At 56.4% G+C, this 18,225-nt stretch overlaps 1 protein-coding gene across 35 annotated transcripts in view, besides 3 other annotated features; it reads left to right on the forward strand.

Annotated features, from left to right (window-relative positions):
- ARHGEF10L (Rho guanine nucleotide exchange factor 10 like) overlaps positions 1-18,225 on the forward strand; it is a 184,441-nt gene that overhangs the window by 148,387 nt on the left and 17,829 nt on the right. For all 35 annotated transcript variants that reach the window (NR_137287.2, NR_137288.2, XR_946686.4 and 32 more), the window contains one exon: positions 2,626-2,774. Coding sequence is in view for 32 of the 35 variants with exons in the window: in XM_024448061.2 (XP_024303829.1) it covers positions 2,626-2,774 (149 nt within the window). In the remaining 3 variants the exon portion in view is untranslated. The remainder of the gene's footprint in view (positions 1-2,625; positions 2,775-18,225) is intronic.
- Positions 3,923-4,422: an enhancer, noted in NCBI's record as "H3K4me1 hESC enhancer chr1:17992239-17992738 (GRCh37/hg19 assembly coordinates)". NCBI's record gives its function as "activates a minimal SCP1, AML or CMV promoter by ChIP-STARR-seq in naive H9 embryonic stem cells {active_cell/tissue: H9 hESC(naive)}" and the evidence as "EXISTENCE:reporter gene assay evidence [ECO:0000049][PMID:30033119]".
- Positions 4,942-5,728: an enhancer, noted in NCBI's record as "H3K4me1 hESC enhancer chr1:17993258-17994044 (GRCh37/hg19 assembly coordinates)". NCBI's record gives its function as "activates a minimal SCP1, AML or CMV promoter by ChIP-STARR-seq in naive H9 embryonic stem cells {active_cell/tissue: H9 hESC(naive)}" and the evidence as "EXISTENCE:reporter gene assay evidence [ECO:0000049][PMID:30033119]".
- Positions 15,092-15,701: an enhancer, noted in NCBI's record as "H3K27ac-H3K4me1 hESC enhancer chr1:18003408-18004017 (GRCh37/hg19 assembly coordinates)". NCBI's record gives its function as "activates a minimal SCP1, AML or CMV promoter by ChIP-STARR-seq in naive H9 embryonic stem cells {active_cell/tissue: H9 hESC(naive)}" and the evidence as "EXISTENCE:reporter gene assay evidence [ECO:0000049][PMID:30033119]".

The following is an 18,225-nucleotide window of genomic DNA, read 5'->3' on the forward strand; positions in this document are numbered from 1 at the left end:
GAGCCCTGGCCGCCTTCGGGTCACTCGCCCCTCCTGGACACCAGGCCCAGCTGCAGAGGCCTTCAGAAACCTGAGAGGGCAGTGGGGTTGGAGAAGCAGGCCAGGCCCAGAGTCAGACAGAGCCGAGTTCAAAACCCGTCTGGCCTGTCACCCCTTGGGTGTCTTTGTGCAAGGCCTTAGCTCCATGGGTCGCCGTTGTCACGTTGGTTAAGTGAAGTCAACACTTGCTTCCACACACTGTTGTGTTGTGGCAAATGGCATCAAACAGTAAGAGCCACGGACACAGACTCCTCTGTAGCTGAGTGAATTGGGGTAGTTATTTAAACTCGCTGTGTCTCGGTTGTCTCCGTTATGAACAGGGATAATAATAGTATCTACCACACATGCTTGTTGGGAGTTAAGGAAATAATTCAAGGAAGGAGGGCCTGGTGTGCGGACACAGAACGCTGCGTAACAACCGCTGTCAAGACCCTGACTGTGTGCCCAGATAAATATTCTTGCATATTGTATTGACTCCCTGCAACATCCGGAGAAGGGCAGGCGTGGTTATCATGCCCAGTGTGCAGATAAGGGAAACTGAGGTCCAGAGAGGCGAAGCCCCCGTCCAAGTTCACACAGAAGTTCTGAGGCCGAGGACTGCCCTGCTCTGCCTGCTTCCCTTGGTGCTCACGCTGGCTGGCCGGGCAGAGCGCTCTGTGTGCCTGGAGGTCGAGGGGAGTCCCTGTTCCCCTGCTTCTTTGCGGAGCTTGGATTCTGCCCATTTTAAGTAGGGCATAAGGGCAGAAGGGGAACCTGTTTTATAGATGGGAAAGAGGTGGGGAGGGAGGGAAAACTGGGCCTGGCAGAGCATGGGGTAGGCCAGGGTATGGTAGGGAAGGATGGGGAGGGGGTGGGAGTCTAGTTTGGCTCTTGTGACCACACCCCAGCAGTGGCTTCCATCACGTACCCTGGGGCCCTTCCGGCTTTGGAGACAGCTGTGCCCCATCGTGCCACCAAGCAGCTGGCTCAGAGGGGAAGGGTCTGCCTGTGATGGGCTGCTCTGTACTCTTACCAGGGACCCAGTGGAGGGCAGGTGGGGTAGCAGGGCTCTGACAAGCTCACAGCTAGCTGTGTCCTGCCTTCTAGTCCCCCGCCACTGCTGCCTGTCTCTCCAGAGCATGCCATGGCCCAGGCTGCTCCAGGCTGGGACCCAGCTTCCTCTTCAACCCCCCTTTCCCACCTGGCACCCTGACAAGACAGGGCAGCCACCGGGGTTCTGTGTGGCATCAGGTGTGACTTCTGAGAAGAAACAATCTTGGCGCGCGCCGCTTGGATGCCGGAGAAAATGGTTCTTGGGTGCGCTGATCATCCCAGGGGAGGGGAGGACCTTGCTTGGGCCAGGCTCCTAGGTCTGTTTGGTTTTCAGGGATGGCCGACTGGGGATTCATTGCCTCTCAGAACATCCTCTGGATCAGGCACGGTGGCTCATGCCTGTAATCCCAGAACTTTGGGAGGCCGAGGTGGGTGGATCACTTGAGGTCAGGAGTTCAAGACCAGCCTGGCCAACATGGCAAAACCCCGTGTCTACTAAAAATACAAAAAATTAACTGGGTGTGGTGGCGGGCGCCTATAATCTCAGCTACTTCGGAGGCTGAGGCAAGAGAATCGCTGGAACCCGGGGAGGCAGAGGTTGCAGTGAGCCAAGACTATGCCACTGCAATCCAGCCTGGGAGACAGAGTGAGATTCTGTCTCAAAGAAAAAAAAAAAAACAAAAAAAAACCACCCTCCACCTCACCTGGCAGCAGTGGTGTTTCTGGAAGAGAAAGAGATCTTGGTAAATTTGACAGAAGTGCCTTGGAGTCGGCCAGAAGATTCATGAGAAATCAAGATTCAGTCTAGATAAGCTACAGCATCAGAAAAGTCCTCAGAGACAATCTTGTCAGCTCCCCACCCCATTTTACAGATGGGGAAACTGAGGCCTCGTGAAGGGTAGAGATGTGCTCAAGGTCCTTAGCAAGTTAGTAGTAGCAGAACCAGGGCCAGACCCCAAGTCTCCCGATTCCGGGTCCAGGACACTTTCCACCATATCATGCTGCCTCTTCTGAGAAGCCTCCCTGGATTTCCCCTGGTGCAGAGTTAGTTCCTTCCATCTCAGCAGTTCTCAAGGCCCTTGTGCACACCTGCTCATTTGTGCTTGGCGTGTCATGTGATAACTGTTGATTAACCTGTTGGTTGCTCTGACCAGTGGGGCTTCCTAGAGGGCGAGACCTGTGTCTGATTCCTTTCTGTCTTCCCAGCACCCAGTGCATGGCATGGGTGGAGTAGGTGCTTACTGCATGTGTGCGGAATGAATGAATGGGAGAGAGGGAAAGAGAGAGAGAGGCAGGGAAGGGAAGGGGGAAAGAGAATGGAGGGAGGAAGGAAGGGACGAATCTGAGAGTAGGGGTGGCTGGGTGTGGGACATGAATGGTGGGAGTCGGAGGCAGATGGGGACAGCCACCACCCAGCTGATGGAGAGAGAAAGGCCCTGGAGAGCGGGGAGAGGGTGTGGGGGGCCCTGCTGAGCCCCCTGCTGCTGGCCTGCGTTCCCAGGAGACCTGCTTGCCGCTCCTGGCCCCTGACCTGCCTCCCCTCTCTCCCTGCAGGAGGTGTCCTGTGGGACCTGGAGAGCCCTCCCGTGTGCCTGACTGTGGGGCCCGGGCCTGTCCGCACCCTGTTGAGCCTGGAGGATGCCGTGTGGGCCAGCTGTGGGCCCCGGGTCACTGTCCTGGAAGCCACCACCCTGCAGCCTCAGGTACTGCACTATCCTTTGGCTTGTGGCCCTGGAGGCCTGCCTTCCTTTTGCTGACCCTTTCTTATGTCCACCCCGGCACCGCTTTCAGCTCCCAGTGGCATTCCAAGGATCGATTGGGCAGAGTTTGTCCGGAAGCAGAGGGGGCCCAAGGTCCCTATTGGGCCTGACCTCTTCCTCTGCCACACATCGCCAAGGCTACCAAGAACAGAAAGTGCCCAGCTGCACTGCACTGTGGCCTGGATCCTGAGTTGTGTCGGTTGCTGCCTGTGGAAGTGGGATTGGGGTCCCTGTCCTTGGACTGGTACCCAGGACTTGTACCCACAGAGCCCGGGCAATGCTGAGGGTGTGGCCAGGGTGGATGCAGCCATCCGCTGGGCTCTTCAAACCACATGGAGGGAGAGGCTGCCTGGGTCCTGCCTTGCCCTGGTTCCAGCACTGCCCATGCCTTGGCCCCCAGGATGAGGGACTGGTCTGGGGGGCTCATCCCTGGCTCAGCCTAGGCCCGTGCCTGTCTCTGACCAATAGCACTGCCCGCTCACCTTCACACCTGCAGTCCATCCTGGGCGGGAGACTCAGCATGGTTCCCCAAGAGGTATTTTGGTGATATTTGATTTGTTTGGATTATCGATTGCAATGAGTCGCCACCTGGCCTGGAGTGGAGCTCTCCCAGGGCGCTCCCTCATGAGGGGCAGTCTTCATTCGCCTGCCTAGTTCTCTCTCATGCAGCTGTAAATCAGCTGCTCAACAGCCTGGCAGAGACACTAAGTGGAGTCCTGGGATCTTAAGAGCACAGATGATCAGGGCTGGGCTCCAGATGACACAACTCTCATTTGACAAAGGGGGAAACTGAGGCACGGGGCCTTATGGATGAGCTCTGAGACTGGGGGCTGAGTCTGGGGGATGTGGTCCGCCCCTTTCCCTGGCTTGCTTTTCTGGTGTTGTAGCAGCACAGAGGTGTTGTCGTTGGAGCCGGACCTACCAGACCGTCTTTCAGTTCTGCCACTTACATCTGGGCGCCTCTGTGCTGGCTCCCGTGGGAGCACGAGGCTTCCAGTCTGTAATGGGAATAAGTGTCCCGTTCCTGGAATCCTTTTCCTTACTGTATCAGTCAGGGTTGTCCAGAGGAACAGAACCAATGGAACGTATGTGAGTGTGTGTTTGCGCAAGTATATGTATACACACGTATATAGAAAGAGACTTATTATAAAGAGTCGGCTCATGGGGTGATGGAGGCTGTGAAGCCCCAGCATCTGTGGACAGCAAGCTGGAGACCCAGGCGAGCTGCCGGCATAGTTCAGTGTGAATACGGAGGCCTGGGAACCTGTGAGCCGGTGGTGTGCCTTCCAGTTCAAAAGCTGGGAGACCTGAGACCCCAAAAGAGCTGATGCTTCAGTGTGATTCTGAAGGCAGGAAAGAACCAGTGGAAGGTAGTCAGGCAGGGAGCGAATTCTCCCCTCCCAGCCTTTTCCATTCAGGCTTCAGCAGATTGGGTGAGGCCCACCCACACTGGGAAGGCCATGTGCATGACTAAACCTACCATTCAGATGCTAATCTCATCTGGAGACACCCTCACAGACACACTCAGAGCCACGTTTAACCAAATATCTGGGCTCCTCGTGGCTCAGTCAAGTTGACACATAAAATTAACCATCTCTCATGGAGTGAGATGATGCTTGGAAGCCATGGTACCTGGCCAGTTGCCAGCCCAGGAGATAATTGATCAGCAGCTCTTCCTGGGTGCTGGGAAGGGGAGGTGGAGTTACCCAGCCCAGCTCCTTAGACAGAAGGGAGAGGCAGTGCCATGTGCAGGACCAGTGGGTGAGCTTTTGCTCTTTTGAGGAGCAGGGGCCTGGGGGCTGATGGTGACTCTTGGGCTGGGCACCCTTCATGGGCAGCATGAGCTCCAACCTCATCTCCTGGACTCATGCCAGGACCTGGCAGTGAGGACCTTTAACCTCACTGGTGCTACTGGGCTGGGCCAAGGGACAGTGAGACACCAACAGGAGGGAAACTCCTGCCTTAGCACTCCCGGTTCCTCGGTCCCCTTTCTCCCCCAAGAACAGCTGGAGCAACTGCAGCTGCAGACTCCCTTCCCAGCCCCTGGTTCATGCTGGGGGCTTCCCTGCTATCCCCCCAGCCCACCTCACCTCATCCCTTCCCAGCCCCTGGTTCATGCTGGGGGCTTCCTGCTCTACCCCAAGCCCACCCCACCCCCTCCCTTCCCAGCCCCTGGTTCACGCTGGGGGCTTCCCTGCTATCACCCCAGCCCACCCCACCCCATCTCTTTCCTCCAAGGGCCTTGCACTTCCTTGGCCTTCTGAGAGGAAGGTGAGCGAGGAGCACTAGCTTTCCCAGGCCCTTTCGGGTCCTCTGACCCATCTGGGTCTCAAGCCAGGAAGGACATGTCTGACCCCTTGGCCTGCCTCTCCCAGTAGCCCCCAAGTGTCTGAGCACTGTCCTCACAGCAGGTCTGACTGCTCTGCAAGCGGTCTCCTGCAGACCCCCTAGCACAGCGTCTGACTCAGCCCAGGAGTATACTGGTGGACAGGTGCTCGGCCTGTAGGCCTAGTGTGCTGGGCGCCCATTCAGGGCAGTGGTGTGAGGAGGAAAGGAGGCCCAGCCTGCTCTGGGGGTCTCCAATCTGCTGGGGGAGACCCAGCCCTTGGGGCAACCTTCAGTCTGATGTGGAAGACACAGCCTGTCTTTGGAGGTGGGGGCTTCAGTCTGTGGAGAGAGACACAGCCTGCCCTTGGAGGGCCTCCAGTCTAACGGAGGAGGCACAGCCTGCCCTTTGAGGGCCTCTAGTCTGATGAGGGAGACCCAGTCCCTGTTCTCAATATTGGGGGGAGTGGGGCCCGAGACAGGAAGAAGCCGAGAACAGAGAAAGAATGGGATGGGAGGGTGCAGGCCCTCAGCCCCCTGTTGGTCAGAGGACATTCTCTCAGTGCTGCCAGTAGGAGAATTGGGGCACACCAGGTAGGAGGCAGCTCAGGAAACAGGAGGCAGGGTAAACTGAGAGGGGTTTCCAAGGAAGAATCTTTTAATGAAAGGGTCTGGAGGGAGGGGAAGCCAGAAATTACAGGCAGGGGCCTGCGAGAGCAGAGAAGTGGCTGCCGGCTGCTGGCAGGGGAGGTGTGAGTGGCGCGGCCCCAGGGCACAGAGCTGCCCCTGTGAGCTGGGCCTGTGGGGCTCCTCCCAGGCTCTTCAGGCAGCTCAGGAGCACTTGAGACTTCAGGAGTGGGTAGGACTGGGGAGGCGTCATTGAAGACAGCAGCCCTTGCCTGTGTCCCGGCCACTTCCAACTCCGGGCAGCTGGCACCCTACCCCCTTGGAGGTGTGCAGTTGGAGAGCAGGCTGCTTCAGACGGGACCGTAGCTGTGCCCCTGCCAAGCTATGCAACCTTGCATAAGTCATGGAGCCTTCCTGGGCCTCAGTTACTTCATCTGTAAAATGGAATGAAAACAGTACCAGTGGGGAGTTAGCAGGAGGACAAACCGAGAACATTCAAGCGAAAGGGCCGTTTCACACGGTCTTGGCACGTGGCGAGGGCAGGGTGAACATTATTTGCTGTCATTGTAATAATTTACCTATCTTAAATCCGCATTGCTGTATATGTCGTTTATTTGGAAAATCAAGCTGCTCCCGGGGTCGGTGTTGTCAGTGGGTGTGGGGCATCGAGCCCACACTGCAGGTCTGCCATCCTCTCGCCTCACTGGAAGACAGCCTTCCTCCTGCCGACAGCTGTCCAGGAGCATGGGACGGATGGCCAAGGGAAGGACAGGGGCCCGGGTCAGGCCCTGCCTGGCTCTCACCTGTTCTTGCCCCTTGCCAGCCGTAGTGCAGTCAACTCCCAGCCCACAGAGCTCAGCTCTGGCGTGACCATCCCTGGGGCCCCAATGGCCACCAGGCTACAGCACGAGGCTGTGATGATTTAAGATTAGTTCTGGACCAGCTGCTGTAAAGAAGGGGATCAATATGGCCTTTCACCTGCTTTGCACACCTCGGGGGCATCAGGAGGGCTGTTGGCTGGAGGGAGGCGAGATGGAGGAAGGGGTGGCCAGGGAGCCTCTGCAGCAGGGGCCAGAGGGAGCACACGCCCCCATGTGCAGCCAGGGAAATGGAAAAGTTTCTGTTCGCTGCGCGGTGCGGGCAGCTTGCCTTCAGTACACACAACCATTCGGCACAGTAACAAGGTGATCGCTATGCGTATTTAATAAGCCATGCTCCTGCTGCTTGGAATACAGGGGAAGCCGGCTCCACCTTGGCGCTGGAGATCTGGAAATGGCTCCGTCTGGTTGCTGCTAACGACTGCTTGACCTGCTCCTGGGCTGCCCGGCTCCACGCTCACCACAGTGGCCACTGCATGGCCAGCCAGGCCTGGGGGAGCCGCCTGGAGCCGGGGCTGCTGCTGCTCTCTCACTGGCTGTGGTCTCGTATGTGTGCCTAGGGCTCAGCATCTGTGGGCTGTGCCTCGCGTGTGATGTCTGCAGCAGAATGCCTGCCTTCAGAGGAAGGGCATTCCTTGCTGGCAGCCATGTGGCAGAATCTGCCCCAGGCTTGAGAAAACCCCCTATGGGGTTTGAGATTCTTAGAGCCGTTCAATGCTCCAAGCCAGGAGACCCAGGCATGTGCTTTGGCTGAGGTTGTGGCTAGCATGGCCCAGGACCAAATGTGAAAACACAGGGGCTTAATCTAGGACTGTGTTACCTCTAAGGGGCTTTTTCTGACTCCTCCCACCCTCGGGAAGTAAACCAATGTATACTGAGCGATTCCTTTGGACCAGAAATGAGTTTTGCGCTTTACCTATAGGATCTCATTTAATCCTCAAATCACGCTTTGAGATGAATACGATTATTCCCACTTTACAGATGAGGAAACAGAGGCACAGAGAGGTTAAGTAACTTGCCCAAGGTCACACAGCTAGAAGAGGCAGGGTTGGGATTTGAACACAGGCATTCTGAGTCTTAACCCCTGTGCTTAACCCACCCACCTTGGTGGGCAGAAGTCTCAGTTTCCTTGGGGTGCCTGGGCCCCCCAAAGCTTTCTGTCTGCGTCAGATGTAACTCCCAGGAGCTCCTCTTGTTTCCATGAGCACGCCTTCCGGGCCGAGGACTGTGTTGTGTTCATCTTTGTTTCCACAGTGCCTGGATCACTGGCATCTAGCAGGGGCTCCCAATTCCAGGCTCTCTGTATGAGGTGCTGGAGGCACAGAAATGAGCAAGGTGGGCTCAGCAGTCCAGGAGCTCGGAGTCCAGTGTGCAGAGACAGAGCTGGGACTGTCAGCTTCCGCCCAGTGTCATGAGACCAGGGACAGGGAAAGCCCAGGGGAGGCGGGATCCCAGAGGAGGCGAGAGGGGTGCCAGACCCAGCTGGACGCAGGACAGGAGCAGGAGACAGTTGTCTGGAGGCCAGGATCCCCGAGCTCGGCTATGCGGGTGAGTTGGTGTGTGACTATGAAGGAAGAGGGGAAGTGATGTTCTGGCCAGAAGAAAGCACCGCGAGCCACGCCTAGGCCAGAGGCAGCCCGCAAGTGGCCAGAAGGCCTCCAAGGGTGGGGCGCCTGAGCTGAAGACTGCCTCCCTGAGGCCCACATGGCCTGGACTCTGCGCCTTGTCCAGCTGGTCCCTGCTGGGCTGCCTTGACCTGTTTTGTGCCACCATCCCCTGCAGAGCTGGCACCCGCGGTCTGTCTCTGGGTTTTACGCTTGCCCACCAACTGCTTGTTCAGCTCCTTGATCCCAGCAGAGGCAGAAGCGAGGCCTGTTAAATAATAATGTCGCTCACCGGGGCCCGTGTCAACACCGCGTCCTCCGCGTTCATGATCTAGATCGCACCGCCTTCAAAGTCTAATCCAGTCGTTTGGAGTTCATTTTAACCGATTGCTGGAGGGGGAAGCTGGCTGTGGGATGATTGTTGCATCTTAATTTAAAAAAACTTATTGGGAACAGGCTGATAGCAGGCCTGCGGCACATGAGGTGTGCTCGGCTGCATGGAGGGCCAGTGCCCTGCAAGGCTGCTCCCTGACAAGGTGTGAGCTGGCGTCTCTGCCACCCTGGCTTGTGGGAGGACAACAGTAGTGACAGCGTGGGGCGTTGGGGACCCGGCTGGGCTATGAATACACATTATGCTATTGGATCTCCGCAACGCTGAGGAGTGACCCGCTGGGCCCATTTTACAGATGGGGATGTGGACTAGAAGCCAGGCCCTTTGGCTTGCAGTGTGCAGCCATGCTGGCCCCTTCCCACCACCAGGCCTTCACCTCTGTTGTTCCCTCTGCCTGGAGCACTGTTCCCCTCCTGTGTGGCTCTTCTTTAGCTTGGGTCTCGGCTTAACTGCCGCCTCCTCAGTGAAGCCACCCTGACTGCTCCAGCCGAGTCATCCCTACCCCTTCATGGTCTCAGCACATCACCCGGCTTTATTGCCTTCAGAGTGTTGGTCACTTTCTGCAATTATCTCCTTGAGTGCAGTTGTCCGTCTGCACCGGCGCCTCACTGCCTTGTTAACCAGTGAGTCCCAGGGCCGGGCACGGCGCAGCCTCTCAGCCAGTTAGGGGTGAGTGTGCCGGCACCTTCCTCCGCCACGGCGGAGCCGCCTGTGCAGGGCGGTCGCAGGGCCCTCGCAGGACTCTGCAGGAAGGTGAGATTCGGGGGGTTAGGCATTCTTTCTGCGCTGGGGCAGTTAGGGAAGTGTCCTGGGAAGAACTGTGCCTTCAAGGAAGTAGGGCAGGGAGTCCCCTCCCAAGAGAAGGGAGGGAGGAATTCGCAGAAGGGGCTTGTCCAGAGGGTCTGTGGCCAGTGGGGATAGTCCCTGCCTGGATGGCAGCCGGGGACAGATGGACAACAGTGTCACTCAAGGGTGAGAACCCTGCCTGGACCTGCACCCGCACCAGCCTTGTGGTGTTTCTATGGCAACCCCCTTCCCCCAAGCAGATTTTCAGCCTCCCTGGTGCAGTTGCAAGAAGCACAGGCCTGGGTCCTTCCTGGAAAGTGCTGGAACTCAGGGCAAGTGGCGTCAGCATTTGGACCCCAGGCCTGGTTCCTGCCTTGAGGGGCTGTGGTGGGGTTAACTGGGGCAGCCCCTCCCCCATTAGACCCGGGCTTCCCATCCTTGGAGAAGCCTGTCTGGACCATTTCACCTCCTACATACACCACAGCTACATGCTGACATCCTGGGGCCGGTTATGGGATTAACCAGACTGAAGCTGAGTAGGGTGGGACTGGGCCTGGCTGGCTCCCATTGTTACCATCCTATCCCCATGGCCCAAGGCCAGGCCTGACGCAGAGCAGGTGCTCAGTAAAGGGTGGTTAAGGCCAGAAGCCCCTCAGGGAGATGGGCTCTGTCTGTAATGTTTCCCCAAGTGGGGGGTGGGGGCATTGCAGAGCAGCTGACCGAGGCTTGGTTTTAACCGGCTTCGGAGCATGAAGGTGCTTCCTGAAGCGCGTGCGGTCAGCAATCTGCTCTGCATCTGATGCCTCCTGCCGGTACCTCTGCACTGGCCTCTCATACCGGCTCTCATGCTTTTTGTCCCTAAGCAGGACAGAGAAGAAACTTCTCTGGGCTCCTGAACACCAACAGCCCCTTGATTTCCCCTGCCCACCCCCCGCCCCAGCCGCCTTCCCCACCCTTAATTTTCATGTTTAGTGCCTAAACTTAGTTTGCATGTATTAGCTGTTGTAAATCTATCATACGAGTGTGATGCGGCATGAATAATGCATCACTGGGCTGTATTAGTTTTCTGTCTCCTATCTTATTTATGACATGAAACGGGTGGGAATTTGCAAAAGAGAAATTCAGGCGCAGGGCTTCTTGGGTAATGGTATGCAAATTGGCGTGAGGGTGAAAAGATGCACCAGGCCCTCCCAGCGCCCAGGAGCTGCCGAGGAGGAGCGCCTGGTGTCTGGGCCACTGCCAGAGCATGCAGGGTCTCGCGTCCTATCACTGCATGGAGTCGGCTCTGCTCGGCAGTTTGTCTTAATTTTTTTTGTTAATGTGTGTGTCATTGTGGTTGTCACCCTGTTATGTTTTTTAAATTAAAAGTTGGCAAGCAAAACTTGAGAAATGGATTTTCTAAAGATTGTGGAGACTTCCCAGGAGGCTCCGACAAGAACAAGTTCACAAGGAAGATGAGTGTTTTCCAGCATCAGGAAGGCTTGAAGTTAGATGTTCAGAAGGACTCCCTTTCAGGAAGTTTGTGAGGCATGGGAGGTAGGGGTGGGTTTGGGACCCCATAGGGCCTTCTTATGTGGAGGGTCAGAAATAAGTTGGCTGGTTGCAAACTCGGGCCTGGAGGGGGTGAAGAGCATCTCAAGGCATGTCTTGTGGGGCAGTAGATGGCTGAGGGTCAGGCCTCCAGGCCCCTCTCTCCTCACCTGGAGGAGCTCAGATCTTTCCTGTGTCTAGCACTTGGATTCCCCCCAACCAGAAGATTTAGGTGATGAAAAGATTTCATGATTTTAAAAAGAAGTTGGTCGCTGATGGCTCAGGGAACAGGCTTGGTGAAGCCTGACCTGGAGCAGGAGGGAACCTGGAGGAAAAAGGGAACCGGTACAGGGAAGGCGGATGAACAGACATCGTGGAGAGGACATATGGGACGGGAGGTGAGGAAGGGGAGCTGGCACGGCAGGGGCAGTCCTGTCCTTGTGAGCCACCCCCCAGTCTTAGCTGGTAGCAGCCAGCCCCCGATCCTCGCCTCCCCTCCACTCTGTGTGTCTCTTCCACATCCCCCTCCCCTCTGAGCCCGGCAGCAGGGAGAGGGGGAGGGCAGATGCCCAAGGGGCAGCTGCCCAGTCCTTTTGGAACTTGGCAAGGAACAAATAGAGCCATGGACATGGATCCGCTGAATGTCAGCTGCTAGGCTGAGGGCTTAATGCAGTGGAGGTCAGGCCCTGGGTGTAATTAGGGAGGCTCCCTCCCTGGGTGGTTGGGAAGAATGAATGAGGTCACATGTGCAGAGGGTGTAGGCTAGTGCCTAATGCACACTCAGGCAGAGTGGCCGCTACGCAATGGTCCTCTGTGAGCCTGGCAGCGGGGTAGCAGGGAAGGTCCACAGGAGGCAACCTCTGCAGGAGGCATTCCCGGCTGCCCCTGCATGCCTTGTCTGAGTGGGCTTGGATGGTGGTCAGTGTGGGCTCAGGGGCTGGGTTGGCTGGCCTTCCCACTGATGGCCTCAGTTTCCTTCCTGTAAAATGGGGGATAATTATAGAACCTGCCCCAGGACTAAGCAGCTCCGTGTACATGCAGGTCCCAGGGCTGTGCCTGGTGGGAGGAAGCACCACGTGTCAGTTGTTGTGTCATTGTGGTCACAGGACTTGCTCAGGGTGACTGGGACCACACACTCGTTGGTGGAGCCAGGATCTCAGGGTGCCTCTGATTCTGAAGCCCCCACCTGGTCTGCCGTCCTCTGCCCCATCAGCCCCGTGTTCCATTGGGTCTTGTGGGTGCGTATGTCCGCACCATCCTCCCTCCAGATGGCAAAATATCTGTGAGCAGGGCCAGTGTCTTATCCTCTCTGTATTGTCCTGCAGTGCAAGTACAGGCATTGACTTGGCTTCTCTCTCTCCTTTGCTTTCTTTCTCCCCAAAATCTCCCCTTTTTTCCCACGCCAGCTCTTCCCTTCTGCCTGACCCTGAGCCTTCCAGGGCTCCAGTTACCCCTGGGACCCTTGGTCCATGGTGTTTACATGACTAGTGGGCCCTGATTGGGGCTGCTGACCACAGGTGAAGACCGGGATCTTGGCTCCTCCCAGGTACCTGGGGAGAGAAGCGAGCTTCATAGAGTGGGTGGTGACACCAGCCCAGTGACAGCACAGGTCCTGCAGAGCAGGTGCCCCAATGAGGGAGTCTCACCCACAGGAGAGGATGCGGGTCAGCCGCATACACGTGCCCAGCTGTGAGGCAGACACACCTGCCACTGATCCGAGGAGCCCAGGAAGGAACCCAGGAGGGGAGCGAGAGAGGGGAGTGAGAGCGGGGTGGGCCAGGCTCTCTGGAGGGCATTTAGCGGGAGGGCCCCTGAGAAGCGTGAGCTGATGCCTGTGCATGCCTGTGAGAGGGTGGGAAACTGGTCAGTTATATTAACATAGTCACGTGCTGCATAGTGACTTTCAGTCAACAACAGACCACACATATTATGATGGTCCTATACGATTACAATACAGTATTTTACTGTACCTTTTCTATGTTTAGATATGTTCAGATTCACAAATACCATTGTGTTACAGTCGCCTGCAGTGTTCAGTACCGTCTCATGCTGTACGGGTATGAGGCCTAGGAGCAACAGGCTGTACAGCATGACTTAGGTGTGCAGTCAGCTTTACCGCCTAGATCTGTGTAAGGTCACTCTATGATCACATGACAAAATTGCCTAATGATGCCTTTCTCAGAACGGCATTATTCCTGTCGTTAAGCAACACGTGGCTGTATCATATAAGTTCTTGACTGTGGCTTGAGTCTTTTGGGCAATGTCCAGTTGGGAGCTGGGGGTCTGATCAAGCCTGGAAACCCCAACTCTCCCACTCCCCCTCCCCAGCCCTACCTGTTCTGGGTTGGTCCCAGCTTTGTGTTGGTCGCATCAATTCTGACCTTTCTTGCCCAACACCGCCCAGCAGTCTTGGATGTGGATTTACATGTGGAAACAGAACCACCCTTCCCTGCAGTTCTCACAGCCTATGTGGGAAGCAGGGCAACCGCCTTGGCTGAGCCATCCCACCCTGTGGCCTCCCCACCTCCCCGCACTGTCACCAAGGGGAACTTAGAGTCTCAGCCTCAAGATGTTGGTGATGCCCCCTCTGGCTAAGCACGGGCAAATGGGTGCTGAGCAGATACTGTGCACGTATGGGTGCAGGTGTGGGTGTAGGTGTGGGTGCAGGTGTGGGTACAGGTGTGTGTGCAGGTGTGTGTGTATAGGTGTGTGGGTACAGGTTTGTGTGCATGTGTGGGTGCAGGTATGGGTGCAGGTGTGCGTGCAGATGTGTGTGCAGGTGTGGATGCAGGGATGTGTGCAGGTGTGGGTACAGGTTTGTGTGCAAGTGTGGGGATAGGTTTGTGTGCAGGTGTTGGTGCAGGCATGGGTGCAGGTGTGGGTGCACATGTGGTACAGGTGTGTTCAAGTGTAGGTGCAGGCCTGTGTGCAGGTGTGGGTGCAGGTGTGTTCAGGTGTAGGTACAGGCATGAGTGCAGGTATGGGTGCAGGTGTGTTCAGGTGTAGGTACAGGCATGGGTGCAGGTGTGGGTACAGGTGTGTGTTCAGGTGTGGGTGCAGGTGTGGGTACAGGTGTGGGTGCAGGTGTAGGTGCAGGCATGGGTAAAGGTTTGTGTGCAAGTGTGGGTACAGGTTTGTGTGCAGTCATGGGTACAGGTGTGTGTACAGGTGTGTGTGCAAGTGTGGGTGCAGGTGTGTGCAGGTGTGGGTGCAGGTGTGGATGCAGGTATGTGTGCAGGTATGGATGCAGGTGTAGGTGCAGGCATGGGTGCAGGTGTAGGTGCAGGCATGGGTGCGGGTGTAGGTGCAGGTGTACGTGCAGGCATGGGTGCAGGCGTGGGTGCAGGTGTAGGTGCAGGTGTAGGTGCAGGCGTGGGTGCAGGTGTGGGTACAGGTGTAGGTGCAGGCATAGGTGCAGGTGTGGGTACAGGTGTATGTTCATGTGTGGGTGCAGGCGTGGGTGCAGGTGTGGGTGCAGGTGTAGTTGCAGGTGTGGGTGAGGTGTAGATGCAGGTGTGGGTACAGGTGTATGTTCACGTGTGGGTGCAGGCGTGGGTGCAGGTGTGGGTGCAGGTGTGGGTGAGGTGTAGATGCAGGTGTGGGTACAGGTGTATGTTCATGTGTAGGTGCAGGCATGGGTGCAGGTGTGGGTGCAGGTGTGGGGTGGTGGAGGGCCAGGTGAGTTGTCTGGATTCCACCATTCAATATCATGCAGGCGAGGCCTGCAGGCTCCATGTGGCTCCCCTATGCAGAGCTCAGAGCAGAGCAGGGCAGCCACAGCCAGTGCCTGGGGACGCTTTCTGGGCCTCATGCTGAGGCTTGACTGCTATGAGGCAGACGTGATAGAACAAAGCTCCTATCACATCTGACCCTGCATCAGAACTATCCAGGTTGCCTGTGGCCCAAAGTCAAGGCCCCCCAGGCTGCACTTGGTCGATATCCCCTGGGTTCCCCTTCTCCAGCCACTGGACAGGTCCCAGTCCCCTAAAGGCTCTGCCTGAGCACTCTGTTCCCCCAGGCCTTTGCACCCACTGCTCTCCCTGCTGGGACTCTCAGGCTGTCTTCTGATTGGGCAGAATCTTCGTGGTCACTCTGACTTCCTGCCCCTTTCTCCATGGAGCCCAACTGCCTCCACTAGTTCTCCTCTGGGCTCCCTTAGTCCTCACTCCCTCCTCCATCGCACTCTCTGCATCGGGCCGTAAACAGGACTCTGGGCATCTCCCTGGCCGTGCTGTGTCCTCAGGGCCCGGCAGGCATGGACGCTCCATGAGGTTTGCTGAGTGAGCTAGCAGGACCAAGGAAAGGAGATGGGCAGAGGCAGTCGCTTGCCTGCGATCAGCAGGGCATAGGAAATCCCTTTACGTCAGGTGAGGAGCCGATAGGAGTTTTGACTCCTACTGTGTGCCGGGGGCTCAGCCAGGGACCTGATTTTGCCTTCAGTGCTTCACTTTCTAGATGTTAAATGAATCCAGAGAAACAACCCTGACTGCACCTGCTCACCTGCACCCTCGTGCACGCACAGGCGTTCTTTCTTCTGCCTTACCTCTGTCTGTCTGTCTCTCTTTCAGCACTCACTCGTCTCTTCCTCCCTGGTGGTCTGGTTTGCACGCTCACTCTCTGCTGATCTCAGCTTCTAACTCTGTATCGGTGTCTCCTTCGATCGGTGCCGCCCCGGCTCTTCCAGGCCTTCTGGCCCAGGGTGGGCACTGGCTGGAGCTTTAGTCCCTGTGCTTGGCACTGGGTTCCAGCAGCAGCCCCTGCCCTCATGGACCTGCCTCTCTGATATGGGCATGGTAGGGGAGGGAGATCAGGGGGGGAGAGACCACCACCATCCACTTAATCTGTATTAAGACTCATGGGTCCCAGAGGCTGCTTTGAGCTCTCCATTAGCAGCAACTTGAGTCATCTTACGGCAGCTCTGTGCAGTAGGTACTATTAATATTATCACACCCACTTTAAAATGGAAGAAACCAAGGCAGGAAGTGGTGGGGTCAGGAGCTGAACCCTGTAGGTCTGCCTCCGGGCCTGTGGGTTTATTGTTTCTTGCAAATAGCGAACAGATAACAAGACAATCCCAGGCCACGGTGAATGTCATGCAGACCCAGGCTGGGCGCCATCACTGCCTGCACTGGTCACTCCCCTGCTGGGCCTCCCTGTCCTCTCTGACTAGAGGCTCGGTGGTCCCTCCTTCCTCATGGGGGCTGCGGGTGAGCTGAGCTGAGCTGAGCTGAGCTGTGGGCAGCCCAGCACGTGCAGGAGCCGGAAGATGCCTGGCCCCCTCTCTATGGCTCAGTCTTCACCGGGTCCCCAGGGTGGTGGGCAGGCACAGGCACTAGCTCAGCCCTGGCACCTGCTTGTACAGGGCAAGGTTGGAGTAGCTGCCAAGGGTAAGACTCGCAGCAAAGGTGGTTGCTGGCCCCAGGTGACCCAGGTGGCTGGCTGCCCAACCCTCCGTCCTAAAGTGTCGATGCTGGAGAAGAAACACTAGGCTGGCTGTCATAATTGAAGAAAACAAAAGGAAATTAAATAGGACTAATGAGGAGAATATCAATAGCCCATACTTCAAGATGCTTTTTCTATTCCACTTCCTCCAGAATAGCCAGGTGCACTGATAGATTTCAGGGTTTTTTTTTTTTTTTTTTTGAGATGGAGTTTTGTTCTTGTTGAACAGGCTAGAGTGCAATGGCGTGATCTCGGCTCACTGCAACATCTGCCTCCCAGGTTCAGGCGACTCTCCGGTCTCAGCCTCCCAAGTAGCTGGGATTACAGGCATGCGCCACCACCCCTGGCTAATTTTGTATTTTTAGTAGAGATGAGGTTTCACCACGTTGGCCAGGCTGGTTTTGAACCCCTGACCTCAGGTGATCTGCCCACCTCAGCTTCCCAAAGTGCTGGGATTACAGGCATGAGCCACCGCACCCGGCTGGATTTCAGATTAGTTTTGTTTTTAAAGGCAAAATTTTGGCACAGCCAGGTCAGGACAGCGTTCTCTGCAGTGGCACTTTCTGTATGCCTTGGTCTGGGTTTTTGGGTTGACACCAACATCTGTGTCCACCTTCTTGTGTGCTTAGTAACAAGTAGGCCTTACTGTAGGAATTGTTAACTTTTTCGGAGGTAGGCAAGGGTGATTTATAGACCTCTTGGAAATGCTAGTAAAAATAGTTAACGATCTTTCTAGAAAGACACACCAAAAATACCAAATTTTGTACAATCAATTCCAAAATGGATTGTTAAAGGAAATTTGGGGTCTGGCCACCAGTCTTGGAGCTGGCAGGACGTCCATCGCTCCATCCCTTGCAGGCTCCCATGATGGCCCTGAGCTAGGAGAGTCCAGCATCCAGTGAAGTCTCTGCTCCAAAGGATGACCTCACACCCACCTTACAGATGAATGAACAGAGTCCCAGAGACCTTAACCAGTTTGCTGGGAAGAGGTGGACTGGTCGTTGCACCCGGAGCCTCCCTGAGAAATGCGTCAGGCAGGGCAGATCTGCTCCTGGTGCACAACCTCTTGGCCTCAACCAGGTCAGACTCTGAGGGCAGGAGTGTTGGGGAATCAGACAGAGCTCACAGAGAGGGATCCATCCATGGCTTGGAGGCTGAGTATTGGCACTGGAGTCCCGTTAGGGTGACCAAGTGTCTTGGTTTGCCCAGGATTGAGGAATTTCCTGGGTTTGGGGCTTCCAGTGCCGCAGCCTGGACAGTCCTGAGCAAACCGGGTAGGACTGGTCACCCTAGGTTTGAATTTGGCTTTCCTCCCATGTCCTAAGCAGCGCGACTTTGCACATCATTTAGCCTGTCAGTTTGTTTCCTCAGCGGTAAAGTGTTGATAAGAATGAGATAAAGACAGGGAAGGGAGTTGTGCTAATTGCCTGTAGAAGATGGCCCTTCCACATGCTCAGTGCAGCCGTGCAGAGCGGACGTGACCCCGGGTCTGAATTCGCAGCCCTGCCCTTTGCTGGCGGGGTGGCCCTGCACAGGTCATTTCTTGTGCCCTAGCTATGGGATGAGGATGGAATGGTGGCACCCACCTGCCAGGTGTCTGTGGGGATTAAAGGGAGGCAGAGTAGGTGAGGTGCTTGCAGGTGATCGTGGGTGATCTCTGGGCCCACGACTGTGTCTCCCAGGGCCAGCTCGGTGGTGACTGGGCCGGGAATGGGTGGCACAGCCCCTTCATGCTCACATTCAGCTCTGGTGCTCAGCGTTGAGAGTCCCCCATGAGACCCTCGGAGGACAGCATGTGAGCTTGGAGCGAG

This window comes from Homo sapiens, chromosome 1, assembly GCF_000001405.40.
Source record: "Homo sapiens chromosome 1, GRCh38.p14 Primary Assembly".
Lineage (NCBI taxonomy): Eukaryota > Metazoa > Chordata > Mammalia > Primates > Hominidae > Homo > Homo sapiens.